Source organism: Homo sapiens, chromosome 11 (assembly GCF_000001405.40).
Source record: "Homo sapiens chromosome 11, GRCh38.p14 Primary Assembly".
Taxonomy (NCBI): domain Eukaryota; kingdom Metazoa; phylum Chordata; class Mammalia; order Primates; family Hominidae; genus Homo; species Homo sapiens.
The window spans coordinates 23,161,059-23,175,770 of NC_000011.10; the positions used below are offsets into that span (position 1 = coordinate 23,161,059).

The 14,712-nt window shown below is 35.3% G+C and overlaps 1 long non-coding RNA gene across 6 annotated transcripts in view; it reads left to right on the forward strand.

The window, feature by feature from the left end:
- Positions 1-14,712, forward strand: part of LINC02718 (long intergenic non-protein coding RNA 2718) — a 376,384-nt gene that overhangs the window by 331,645 nt on the left and 30,027 nt on the right. For 5 of the 6 annotated variants that reach the window (NR_187208.1, NR_187205.1, NR_187209.1 and 2 more), the window contains 4 exons: positions 2,438-2,544; positions 4,132-4,275; positions 5,435-5,555; positions 5,678-5,734. This is a non-coding gene — a long non-coding RNA (long intergenic non-protein coding RNA 2718). Of the gene's footprint in view, positions 1-2,437; positions 2,545-3,932; positions 4,036-4,131; positions 4,276-5,434; positions 5,556-5,677; positions 5,735-14,712 lie in introns of all 6 variants that reach the window. The other variant, NR_187207.1, reaches the window with a different exon arrangement.

Here is a 14,712-nt window from a genome sequence, read left to right on the forward strand (position 1 = left end):
ATAAAAAACATTAGACAGATACACAAAAAGCAAAATTACGGACATAGTGCAACCATATCAATAACATTAATGAATGAAACATTTCCATTACAAGGCAGAGATCAGCAGAGTACATAAAAACCAAGATCCAACAATACATTGTCTATAGGAAAAACAATCAAATATATAAATAGATTGAAAGTTAAAAGATGGAAAAACACTATCACGTAAACAACAACTATAAAAAAATTAAAGTAGTTATCATAATATCAGACAAAATAGACATTGAAATAAAATACCACTTCACAATCAATGGAATGGCTATAATCAGATAGACAGATAGTGTTTGTGAGGATATGAAGAAATTATAATCATTATGCTTACTAGTAGGGATTTAAAATGGTGCCATTACTTTGGAAAACATTTTGTCAGTTCTTCAAAAAATTAAAAATAGAGTTATCATATGAACCAGAATTTCCACTCTTAACAAAAAATTTTACATAAAATTTATGACAGCATTATTTGTAATAGGAAAAATGAAAACAGTTCAAATGTCCATCTACTGATTAATGGATAAAATGTGGTTTATCCATACAGTAGAATATTATTTAACAATAAAATGAATAAAGTACTAACATGCTGCTACATGTTATAAAAGAAAAAAATCCTTGAGAACATTACGGTAAATAAAAAGATCCAGTTATAAAAGATTACATATTTTATTATTCTGTTTATTTAAAATACCCACAATAAGCAAATCTAGAAATAGAATGTAGATTTGTGATTGCCTGGAGCCACCACTAATGGGGACGTGTGTGAGGATGAGGATTGACAGCTAATGAGCATAGGGTTATTTTTATAGTGGCAAAGATGTTCTAAAATTAATTGTGGTGATGGTTTTAAAATTCTGAGTATACTAAAAACCGTTGAATTATATACTAAAAATGAGTGAATTGTTTGTGAATGTTTCAGTAAAACTTAAAAAATATGATTGTCAGATAAAATGTAGTGTGCTCAGTTAAATATGATTTTGAGATACACAGTGAATAACTAGGATAAATATATCCCAAATATTGCATATTATAAAACTATATTACATTTATAAATAAAATATTTTATAAATAAACACGCTTTTATAAATAATTACCCATTGATTATCTCAAATTCAGATTGAACTGGGTGTCTTATATTTTTATTTGATAAATCTGGCAACCCTACATCAAGACAAAATAGCCTGCGCCCAGGCAGCAATTTATCTGATTTTTCTTTAAATAACTGCCCAAAGCACTCCAAGAGAGCTAGCTTCACATCTAGTTGCTTATACAGTATATACAGAACATAAGTATTTCGACCTTGCAAAACTTAGCACATTTTATGCATCATATCTTACTACTATTGTATTAGTAATATCTGTTTAATATACCTAAGTCTGTTTAGCCCTTGCCAAGTATACAATTTTAATAAAAAGACAAAACTTGTCATCTCTTTCTTGTTTATATCTTGGGCATACTGCTGAAGAAGTGTGTGATGGTTAATACCAAGTGTCAACTTGGTTGGATTCAAGGATGCGAAATATTGATTCTGGGTATGTCTGTGAGCATGTTGCCAAAGGAGATTAACATTTGAGTCATTGGGTTGGGAAAGGCAGACCCACCCTTAATCTGGGTGGGCACCATCTAATCAGCTGCCAGTGCAGGTAGAATATAAAGCAGGCAGAAAAACATGAAAAGGCTAAACTGTTGGGAGAAATAGGAATGCTTTTACACTGTTGGCGGGAGTGTAAATTAGTTCAATCATTGTGAAAGACAGTGTGGTGATTCCTCAAGGATCTAGAACCAGAAATACCATTTGACCCAGCAATCCCATTACTGGGTAGATACCCAAAGGACTATAAATCATTCTACTATAAAGACACATGTACATGTATGTTTATTGCAGCACTATTTACAATAGCAAAGACTAAGAATCAACCCAAATGCCCATCAATGATAGACTAAAGAAAATGTGGCATGTATACACCATGGAATACTATGCATGAAAAGGCATGAATTCATGTTCTTTGCAGGGACATGGGTGAAGCTGGAAACCATCATCCTCAACAAACTAACACAGGAACAGAAAAGCAAACACCGCATGTTCTCACTCATAAGTGGGAGTTGAACAATGAGAACACATGGACACAGGGAAGTGAACACCACACACTGGGGCCTGTCGGGGGTTGAGGGGCAAGTGGAAGGAGAGCATTAGGACAAATACCTAATGCATGTGGGGCTTAAAACCTATATGGGTTGATAGGCACAGCAAACCACAATGGCACATGTATACCTATGTAATAAAGCTGCATGTTCAGCACATGTATCCCAGAACTTACAGTAAAATAGAAATAAATAAATAAATAAATAAATAAATAAATGCTAGACTGGCTTAGCATCCAGCCTACATCTTTCTCCTGTGCTAGATGCTTCCTGTCCTCAAACATCGGACTCCAAATTCTTCAGCTTTGGGACGGACTGGCTTCCTTGCTCCTCAGCTTGCAGACAGCCGACTGTGGGACCTTGTGATCATGTGAGTTAATACTACTCAATAAACTATATATATATATATATATATATATATATATATATATATATATATATCCTATTAGTTTTGTCCCTCTAGAGAACCGTAATACAAGGAGATTTTCTCTATTTTGAATTAAGAGAATATAAAATATTTAACCTTGGCAACTTGTGATCTAAATCTTTAGAGACAATTTCAGAGTATAACTGAGAATTTACGTAGTAGTCAGATTATTTAAAACACAATTTCTATCTATCACTTATATATCCAAGTAGATTTTGAATGCATTTATCTAATCCACCTTGCAAACTCATACAGTCCTTTTTTTGTTTAGTAACATCTGGGGTTATTTTTAAGTCAAAGTAAAGTTATAGAAACCTATAAACATCAAAATCTTTATTGTCGTACCTCAAACCTCATTTTAATGGTTTATAAAATTTTAGGATTCACTGTAGTCTCTAGCATTGAGTAGAGAATGATGTTTGCCTAATCTTAATAGCAAATCTACAATCATATAATAAAGATTTTCCACAACTGAGGAATGATTCTAAAAATGTTATAAGCAATAGGAACATCGCTGGAATAAAAGCAAAGCCTGCCAATGTGACATTTACTTATTCTGATATGTGTCTCAATATTTTGAAAACTTACAGAAATGAGGCAACAGCCTTTACTGAATTTTTAAAATAATCTCAGCTCTATAGAATCCAGTCTAACAGAAACATTTATTGATTTTTTGTGTGTGCCAAGCACAAGATCTACAATTAAAAAAAATAGCAGACATAGTATCTATTCTGATTGAGCTTAATGCTTAGGAGGAAAACCGTAATGTACAGGCATAATTACAAAAAATTATCATAATCATTGTAATTATTTGTGCATATTTCTGAGTATTTTTAAAAGCTTTTAAATCTTTGCCTTTTCTTTTTAAGGAACTTTCTCAGATATTTGAATTCTAATCAGTAGCACATGTATATGATTTTCTGTCTCACAGCAGTTCAGAATTTGCAAACTAGAAGCAATATGGAAAGAAAAGCTCTGATAGAGGCAGACATCTAGTAATAGAAGAAGTGATAAGGAATAACTGACAGCAAGGAAGAAAATAAAATTAAAAAGTCTACAGACATATACATGTATCTTAGCTCAACAGTCCCTGTTCTTCAAACTTTTATCTTCATGAATGAAATTCATTTTTCAAAAGAAACCATATCTGGAAGTTAAACAAAAGAAACCCATAAATTTAAGGCTACTCTTATGAAGGTAGAAGAGGGACAGGGAAATGTGGTTGAAAAGAATCAAAGCCTTTGATTTATGCCTACTCACATATACTTGGTACATGCACGTTCCTTAGAGGAGGGGAGATAGGAAGACACACATGTAAATTTCCACCTCAGTTTGGAAACAGATACTGCAATCCCAGAAAATCTTGCCATAAGAAGAGCCTAGCCAATAGTTTGACTGCGATTTCATGGGAGACCTCAAGGCAGAGTGATCCAGGTAGGTTGCTCCCAGATGTCGACCCACAAAAAACTGTGACATTATAAATATTTGCTGTTTTAAGCCACTGCTTTGGTTTGTTTTGTGCTATCACAGAATACCACAGTCTGGAGGCTATGAAGTCCATGATTAAGAAGCCAGCACGTTTGCTTTCTGGTTCCAAGATGGCATACCTTTTTGCTGCTTCCTCCAGAGAGGAGGAACACTGTGTTCTCACATAGTAGAAGATGGAAGGAGCAGGTAAAGGACACTCACTCCTACAAACCCTTTTATATTGGCAGTAATATAAAAGGGTTTGATTCATGAGAGATCTCATGACTAAACGCCTCCAAAAGTCCCCATCTCTCAACACTGTTGCGTTGGGGATTAAATTTTCAATACATGAATTTTGGAGATACATTGAGACTACAGCTGCCATTAACCTTTGGGGTAAACTTTGGGGTAATGTGATAACTAGTATTTAGAGCTAATTGATTGTCAACAATTTTCATGTTAACTTGATAGAAAAAGGATACTTTTCAATAATTGATGGTTCAATAACCATCAATAAATGGTGATTGATATGGTTTCACTGTGTCCCCACCCAAATCGCATCTTGAGTCTTAGCTCCCATAATTCCCCTGTGTTGTGGGAGGGACCTGGTGGGAGATAATTGAATTATGGGGGCAGTTTCCTCATACTATTCTCATGGTAGTGAATAAGTTTCACGAAATCTGATGATTTTATAAGGGGTTTATCCTTTCACTTGGCTCTCATTTCTCTTGTCTGCTGTCACATAAGACATACTGTTCATCTTCCACTATGATTGTGAGGCCTCCCTAGGCATGTGAAACTGTGAGTCCTTTTCCTTTATAAATTACCCAGTCTCAGGTATGTCTTTATCAGCAGTGTGAAAATGGACAAATACAGTGGTGCAAAATTAAATATAAAAAAGTACCCTAAACCCTTCCTCATATCAACAGATATGATAGACTTGAATTTATAAGATATAAATGCTTAATCTATAAAACTTCCCATAGAAAATATAGAATAATAACTATAAAATCAAATATTTCTTACACTGGACATAAAAATGGCATAAAACAAAAAAATTGATAAATAGAAACCCATAAAAATTAAGATCTTCCCTATGTCAAACTTCACTATAAAGATGAAGAAAAGTCAAAGCATAGACAGGGAAAAATATTTGCAATTCATATGCTTAACCAAGGATGTATCCTGAATACATCAGACTCCTATAACTCAATAATAAAATATTAAAAAGTATTATCTGAAACCCAGGTGAAATGCATGTTCTAGCACCCCCCTACTTAGTTGCAACTATATGACTAAGTTCTAGCTTGACTCACAAAAAATATTCTCTGCATGTTTCTCTTATACTTTTCTTTTTTTTTTCTAGATGCAGATGAGCATGGCAATGTGAGAATATGTCAGAGGCCCCAGGATGAAATGAGCTCAAGTCCCTGAAATCCCTGTTAGAAGAGTCTTTCCACTGGTTGGGAATGCTAATTGTATTTTGAGTAAGAAAACACATTTCTGTTATGTTAAATCACTAACTTTGGGGGGTTTATTTGGTATAGTCACTGATGTTATCCTTACGTAATATAGTTGCCTTGCATATTATTCTGTGTTCTTGTTGCAGCAACTCAATGTTTCAGCAACTCAAAATGTTACAGCTTCTGCATTGGAATAAAAAAAGGTTAGTTCCTTTGGAATTTTGTGAGTTCCAAGTTTTAAAATATTAAACCTTTAGAGCAATGATTTATATTGTAATAACAACGATATTTAGGGGAGAAAGACTAAATAAAAGGAGAGAGAAATCTCCTTGGTATTTGCCAGTAATTTACAGGTCAGTTAATTCTCAATAAATCCTGTACAAATGAGAAAATCAAGACTCACAAAAGTTAAATGGCTTTCCCATTCTCATCCAATTAGTAAATTGTGGACCCAGAATTTAAACCTTAGATATTCTAACTTCAAGTGGCAGGCTTATCACAAGATAATGCTGCTTTTACAGGAAGACAAAATACATGAGCCACGACATTTCCTCCATGTTATTGGAATAAGCCAGGTACATGTGAAGGAGAAAAACAAGTAGATAGTAAAAACTGTTAGCATTTTTGAGAATTTTCTCTGTATAGGCACTGTGGTAAATACCTTACTTGCATTAGTTCGATTCATCTTACTACCAGTTTGTAAGGTTGTTGCTATTACTCTGCATTTTGCGTATGAGAAACTCAGGGTTAGAAGCTAAAGTAACTTCACCAAGATCACAGACGAGGCAAGCTGAAGAACCAGAATTCACCCTGAGAGTCTCAAGTCAAGTATTAAGCATAAGTCCTAATATTGTGCTATATAGCTCCCTGGGTCTTAAAACTGAAAAAGAGAACTGAACTTTCAGATCTATTGATAATCGCAGAAAATTGTCTCAATAGATACAGTCATTGTTGAAAACCAAGCTGTTTCATAAGACATATTCCAAGCATGTATGACACAATTGCCTCTCTTTTCTGTTTAATTGACTTGTTCATATAATCAGCAATCATTTATCATGCTAAGTGTAAGCAGCATAGGGCAGTAGTTTAGGATAAAAGGATTTTAAAGACTTATGCCTTTTTTCTTTATTCCTTCTCTTATAGAAAAGAATCATAATTTCTCAAAAGGATAATGCTGAGCAATTTATAATCTTTCCTATTATGAGCAGGAAAATGTACTCTATGGCAACTTTTAACCAAATGATTTATTTATATATTCATTTAATTAGCTGAGTACATCGAATTTCTAAGGCAATATTTCTCAATCCTTATTTAAACCACGCATCATCAGCCGAGAATTCTCTAAGCTCTACATTCTGTAGTTTGTATTTTGAGAATTATAATTTTTAAGTTGCAAAATGATGTTCTAATATTGCATATGATCTTAAAAATGCATATAAGTCACTATCCTACCACATCTCAGAATTCCCAGTATCCTTTACTTTTTTATCCTCTTTGAGAATCCCTGTTGTAACACCAAAACATTTATTTTAACTGACACATTCTTCCAATTCTATTCTTACCTCCCAGAGCCATATTCTGTCTCTCCTCAACTCTGCCCTTTCCATCTGCTCCCTATATAATGAATTTTTAAATAGTTCTGCAGTATTTAAGCATTTTGCTCATAAAAATCAAGATTTATATCTCTATGATTTTATTCTGTCTTCTGATAAGTAACATTGAAAAAGTTTACTTATTCTTTAGAGGTGTGTGGGGGGTGAGAAGGAAGGACAACAAAGTATAAACATTCAAGCTCTATCCACTTTGCTATACTTTGAGAAAATTAGTAATTAAGCTAATCGATTCTAAATGCAATCAACTGAACTTGAATACTATGTTTCGAAAAGGTAACCGAAAAAAAGAAAAAAAGAAAAAGAAGAGAACTAGGTTTCCCCTGTCTGCCTTTGCAGAAAATAGTTTTTCTAGACATCAGTTTTGCTGTTCTGAACAATAAGCTTTTGGGACTTTGCAGGTTTAAAAGGCTCTGTTGATGCTTCCGGAATGTAGACCCATGAGTACTAGGAAGACCATCTCTAACACAGGTCGAGGGGTCTTGAATGCTAGTCTTAGAGCTGGGGTGTATGAAAAAGACTCAGAATGAAGTGAAGCCATATGCTTCTTTCAAGGAAGAAGGAAACAGTGATAAGAAGGTCAATGTGTGAGATATCAGAGGCACTGTGGGAAATTCTGCCATAGGGAAAGTGATGAGTGAGGTGACTGAGAGAAAGCACCTCAGGAGAGGTCTAGAAGTGACAGGTGTGTGGGAGGAAATGTCTCATAGAGAGGGGTGTGGTCACTTTAATAGAGAGAAGAAATGAACACTATCGCTCCTTTAACAACATTATAATTGTCTACCGCTATGTGAGAACTGGGATTTCAGAATTAACTGGAGATGGTCATGAAACGATAAAGCACAATTTCAAATTTATATAGTTTTGAATATAATGCCAAACCTAGTCAGTTACTGGTTGTGCCTGCTTGTATCAATTTTGTATCCTCTCTAAGCTTCAGTTTATTTGTGAAAAAGGGTTTACAAAACTTGTTTCATGGAATTCTTGAGATAAATTAAATTATGTATAAACATTCCTTACTAGCATATGGGAATTAATCATTCAGTGCCAGATATTTTTATAATTAAATAAAGATGTTGTCTAGAAAACGTTACCATAGTATATCTGTCATAGGCTGAGCAGGGACCGAGCAGGGAGTAAAGCCCTTAGGTACTACCACCTGAGCAAACAGAGGACAAATCCACAAGAAGAACATTATTTCATTTCCTGTCATATGGCAGTTAATAGATACTCATGATGAGGGATTTCTTATTTACAATAAAAATATTTTTAAGCATATCCTTTGGGCCAGGCACTGTTCTGAGGTATCAGGTATTAACTAACATGTTTAATCTTACCCAGTGAAGCACAGTCTATTAATATTTTTATTTTATAAGTGAAAAAATTGAGGAATGAAAAGACTAAGAATTAGCTCAAGGTCACTGAAATAAGCATAGCAAAGCTGGAAAAGAAGGAAGCCTAGTTCAAGGGCCATTTTAATCATCTTGAAATCATGCCTCTCAGGGTGGCAATACAGGGATAAGTGTATGTTATAGCTACAAACTCAAACCAGTGAATTAATGTTGTTTTACATTAGTTAAATGTGTGAATTCATAGTGTGGATAGCCTAATTACATTTCAGTTATCATTTAAAATGCCGGGAGGTAGCAGGATGAATATGGCCACTCTGCAATATTTAAATCTGCTTCTAAATCAGTCTTCAGTATCTCAGTAAATGGCATCACTGTCAAACAATTTGCTGACTTCCAAATCTAGGAGTCATCCTTAATTTTTCATTTTATCTCACTCTCCCTATTCTAATCCATTAATAATCCTAATAATTCTTTCTGGGATCACACCCCAAATCAATATACTTTTCTCCCTCTCCACTACTTCCACCTTAGACAAAACCACCGTCAAACTCGCATGCTCACAAATGTAACATCTTCCCAACTGGTCTCCCTAACTTCATTCTCTTCACAGCAGCACTAATAATCTAGCCTCTACCTCGCTCTATACCCCCTTCTACCTCTCTTTCTCTTGCCCCCTACATTTTGTCAACACTGGCTTTTTTATGTTCCTTGAAAAAAAGTTCATTTCCTCCTTCAAGCCTGAACTTTGCATTATTCTTGCCTTCATTGTCATTCACTTTTCAGGCAAAATGTCATTACCTTGAAAAGAACTCTCATAACCATGTAATTTGAAGTAAAACAAATAAAATATCATTACAAAATTACTCTGAGAATTCTCATAGGGATGTACCAATAAAATCGTTGCAACTGTAAGAAGCCGTTAATTGCTCATGTGAGTGACAAACATTGAAATGGAAAAAGATTTAACTATCAGTCAAGTGGGTGTTGGATTCATTGAGAATGAAAAATTGAATGCTAGTCTGCATGTTTGAAGCCTACCATGCTCCTTGAAGTTTGATCTGTTTAAAAATGAGAGATTTACTCAGGATCAGCTGTAGGTATGCCTTGATTTGGCTTCAGCAGTGAGAGGTACTCAGCATAAGCCTTGAATTTAGAGAGGTACTTTAGTGCTTTGAAAAGGAGAACAAAAATTGCTTTGCTTCAAAAATGAATATTTATTTTTGCTTCACTGTCTCCAATGCCCTTTACAGACTTAATTGGACTAAAGAGGTAATTGGGGATTAGGAAAAATATATATAACTAGAATAGATGGCAGGCAAAGACTGCTTTGTTCCCTTCCTTCTTTCCTTCCTTTCTTTCTTTCAATATAGCCTTAGAAGAGATAAAGTACACCGAGGGACTTGGGACTCTGTTCATGTGTTTGTTATTAACGAGTTGAGATTTGCCGAAGGGGATTATATAGCAGCTCAAATTGTCCTTTTATCTTCTAATTTTCTTTGGTTTGGAGGTAATAGGGACAAACCTAAAGCTGACTAATCCTGTTTTGGGGAAGAATCAAGAAGCATCTCATGCTCTCAAGGGTACTTCTCTCATTAATAGCAGTAACATCTCTACAGTTTATTGTGCATTCTGTGCCAGGATTTTGCCAGTGCCTTTGCATGGCATGTTGAATATGTTGGATTTAACATAATCTTCACAATCTTATGAAGTTGATATTATCATTTTCATTTTATAGGCACAAAAACTGAGGCTTCAATCTCTTTTACAATTTACTCCCAAACACTCAGCTAGTACCTGATGGACTTGTAGGCTGAAATAATTTTATCTGCATTTAAGGACCTTTATCTTAACCATTTCACAATACTGCTTCATATCTATGCCAATAAATGTGGATTAACTGAAGTTTCCAAAGCTCATTTGTTCATATCGCAAGCATTTTTATATCTGAGAGGTAGCAGTCAATAATTGTCTGCTTTTACTTGCCTTCCTGAATGCAGGCTATTTCTAGTAATCCACATTTCTTTCTTAGACACAAGATTCCCTTTTGTCTGCTTACTATTTAATTCCTTTTTAATAATTATTAGAAACCATCTTAAATTTTCCTTCCGGCTCTCTTGATTTCTCATTTTCTTTTTCCATCCTGTTGTTTGGGGAAGTAGATACTGGATATTTGCTTGCATTCATTCTTTAAAGAAATATCTATTTTTCAAGACAAATATCATATTCAATGGTATTTTAAAAATATTTTACTACTAATACTTATATTAGCTGAAAGGGAACGGTATTAGTCCATTCTCAGGCTGCTAATAAAGACATACCTGAGACTGGGCAAATAATAAAGGAAAGAGGTCTGATTGACCCACAGTTCAGCATGGCTGGGGAGGCTTCAGGAAACTTAAAATCATGGTGGAAGGGGAAGCAAACACGTCCTTCTTCACATGGTGGCAGAAAGAGAAGTGAGAACGAAGTAGGGGGAAAAGCCCCTTATAAAACCATCAGATCTCTTGAGAACTAACTCAGTATCACGAGAATAGAATGGGGAAAACTGCCCTCATGATTCAGTTATCTCCACCTGATCCCTCCCACAGCACATGGGGATTATGGAAACTACAGTTTCAGATGAGGTTTAGGTGGGGACACAGCCAAACCATATCAGAAACTGAACAATCTTAGTCAATATTCCTCATTGTGAGGTTGAGAAAATAGTAATATTAAAAAACAAAATAATATGTGCAGGGTCTTAACATTAATTGAGGCAGATCTGAAATTAGAAAAAGAATAGCCAGTCTCTGTTACTGACCTAAATATTAACAGTTTATACAGATCTTATGCCAGATATATTCTCACCTTCTGTTTTTTCTTAATATTCCATATACATTCTCAATTTCTGTTCTTTCCCCAGAAAACTTATTTGAAGCCTTTAACCTCTACTCAAGGTTTTTACCACATCAGGTTATTTATTAGTGCAACCTGTCTCTCCATTCCACCTGCAAACTATTGACCTCTCTAACCCTGTTCTGCTTTTTTCTTTTTCCTCATAGCACTTATGATTTTTCTAGCACGCATTTTACTTTTATTTATCTCAATGCCTATCTCCTCCTCACCACCAGCATGTTTGGGCAGAAACTTTGTCCATGTTCTTCATCCAAGTGTTCACAGAAGCATTAATCACAATAGCCAAAAAGTGCAAACCACCCAGGTGTAGATCAACTTGTGATTGAACAAAATATGGTCTGTTCATATAATGGGATACAATCTGGCAACAAAAAGCAATGAAATACTAACACATGCTACAACATGGATCATTTCAAAAATCTTATGCTAAGTGAAAGAAGTCAGACAAAAAAAGACCACACATTGTATGATTCTATTTATATTCAATGTTCAGAAAACAGAATGTATAGAGACAAAAGTAATCATGAATTCCTATGGATGAGAGTGGAAATGAGGATTAACTGTAAACTGGCATGAAGGGTCTTATCAGGGTAATAACAATGTTGAAGAACAGGAGTGCTGTGATGGTTGCACAATGCAGTAAATTTACTAAGCATCATTGACTAGTACACTAAAAATGGGAAAAATTATTAGATATGCATAATAATTTACATGTTATATAGTGTAACTTATGCCTCAATAAAGTTGTTCTAAAAACAGGATGTTGGTAGAGATTAGTATGGAACAGCAGCATGCCTGAACAACTGATGGTGTAGAATAGGATCCTGGAAGCACACTTTTTTATGGACTCCCATCAATGGGTGCAAACAAAAACCTGCAACCCCTGTTATTGCTCACTGAGTAAAGCCTGCTCATGAATAAGCACCAGCAGACCCTGCAGATCCCATTTCTTTTCAAAGTTTTGAAATTCAGTTACAATAATAGGTTGCAGGAAACTCTGTGTGTGTGCTGTATACTGAATTCCTTTTTCATTTTGCAAAAGATTTTTCTTGCCATTTCTAGGTGTTTTCTATGTTTAGGTTTTACTTTTGATAGGAAATCACAATGTAATCCACAATCTTCTTTGCAAACACCAGCATATATAAAAGAAGCAGCATGCAATGTCTCTCCACTTTATCCTGTGTTTTTTTTTTTTTTTTTTTTTTTCTGGCCCTAATTCATAGAGTATCTCTTGTTCCTATTCCTATTTGTGCTCAGCTGTAAGCATTTTGATTTTTTATCTTCCTTTTCTTTTTCTGCTCCTATGGTGATAAGAGGTAAATTGGAGTGTGAAGAAATAAATTTAAGACTCAATGGTTTAGGATTTTCGCTCTTTAATGTGAATCATAAACTCCTTAAAAAAGCTGTATTGATTGCGATGGGAGACATACAAGTGGTATCTGTTTCATTACATTAGTGATTGGCAGTATTATATTTAAGAAGTCTATGCTATCACCCCAGAGCAGTTTTTTTCTTCTAATAATTTGTAATGGAGCATTTGCTCCATTATCTATTTACCATACAATTACTTTATTAATCACCTTCTCTGTGTTGAAAACTGCTCAGGACATAAGGATATAGCAATGAAGAAAATGGACAAAAACTCTTACCCTCATAAAGACTGCATTTTAGTGAGGGTGGGTGGGTGAGGGGCTCTGCATTTAGCCCAATAGGCTAAATAGGCCAATAGGCTATTCACGACACAATCCTAATACATTTGAATAGCTCTCCTGATTGTCACACAATGTGCCAACCTTGTTAATAAACAAGCAAATGGTCAATAGATGATGATGTGGATACTTTGTATGAAGTACTCCTCTAGGAACTTGGGTTATATCAATGAACAAGACCAACAAAGATCCTGTTGTTCACAGGGCTTCCATCCAGTTAAATATTAATATTAGAACATAATTGGTTCTATAAGAAAGAATATGTAGTGTAGCTTAAGTGAGGGAAGTTCACAATATTAAATATATGGTCAGGTTAGATATTTGAACAAAGACTTGAAGAACATAGTAGAATTAGCCAAGTAGTTATCTGGGGGAAGATAAAACAAAGGCCCTAATAATGTAGATTGCCTGGCAGGCTCTGGGAACAGCAAATAGAAAGACCAGTGTTATGGAATTAGGAGGGGAGAAGTGCTAGGAGATGAGGTCAGAGTGGCATTAGGAGGCCAGGTCATAGCCTTGTAAACCTCTATAGAGACTTTGGATTTTATTCTAAATGAAGTGGGCTCGTTGATATTGATATGATCTGACATAAATTACAACACACTCTGACTGCTATATTAAGCACAGGCTATAGAATGTCAAGGATAGAAAAAAAGAAGACATGATAGAAATCATCCAAGTCAGTTGTGATAGTGTCTTGGGCCAGAGTGGGTATACTGGAGTTGCTGAGTTGTAGAATTCTGAATAGATTTGTGGCAGGGCCAATAATATTTATTGTAAATTGTATTTGTGGTTTTCACAAGAGAGAGAAGTCGAGAATGGCTTCCAAGCTTTGGCCCAAACATCTTTTCAGAGATGTTGGCAACAGCTGCAATAACTTTGATAGGGTACACATTTTCAAGGAAAGATATAGAGTTCAGTTTCAGACATCCAGGGGGATGGGTAGAGTAAATAGTTAGATATGTGAGTTTGAAGTTTGAGAGAGGGTTTTTGGTTGAACATAAAGGTGTTGTAGTATTTTGCAGGGTGCAGTGTCTCATGCCTGTAATCCCAGCACTTTGGGAGGCACAGTGGGTGGATCACCTGAGGACAGGAGTTCAAGACCAGCCTGGCCACCATGGTGAAACCCAATCTTTACTAAAAATACAACAAATTAACTGGGTGTGGTGGTGGGCACCTATAATCTCAGCTACTCAGGAGGCTGAGGTAGGAGAATTGCTTCAACCCAGGAGGTAGAGGTTGCAGTGAGCTGAGACTGTGCCTCTGCACTCCAGCATGGGTGAAAGAGCGAGACTCCATCTCAAAAAAAAAAAAAAAAAAAAGATGCTGTAGTGTTTTACAAGGTGGTACATGCAATGGAGAAAAATAAACGAGAGAAAGAAGATAGGGAATTGTGTGTATAATGGACAGAAGGTTGCAATTTTAAATTGGGACTCACTCAGAAGACAACAGTTGAGAACAACCACCACAACGACAAAACTAAAGTAGGTGAGAGAGTCAGCCACCTAGATATAAGTTGGAAGAATATTCCAGAAGATAGGAGTAAGATGATACAAAAGCTATGTATTAGAAGCTATGAAAGAGACTAATAGGAGGTAAAGGTCAGAAAGGTAAT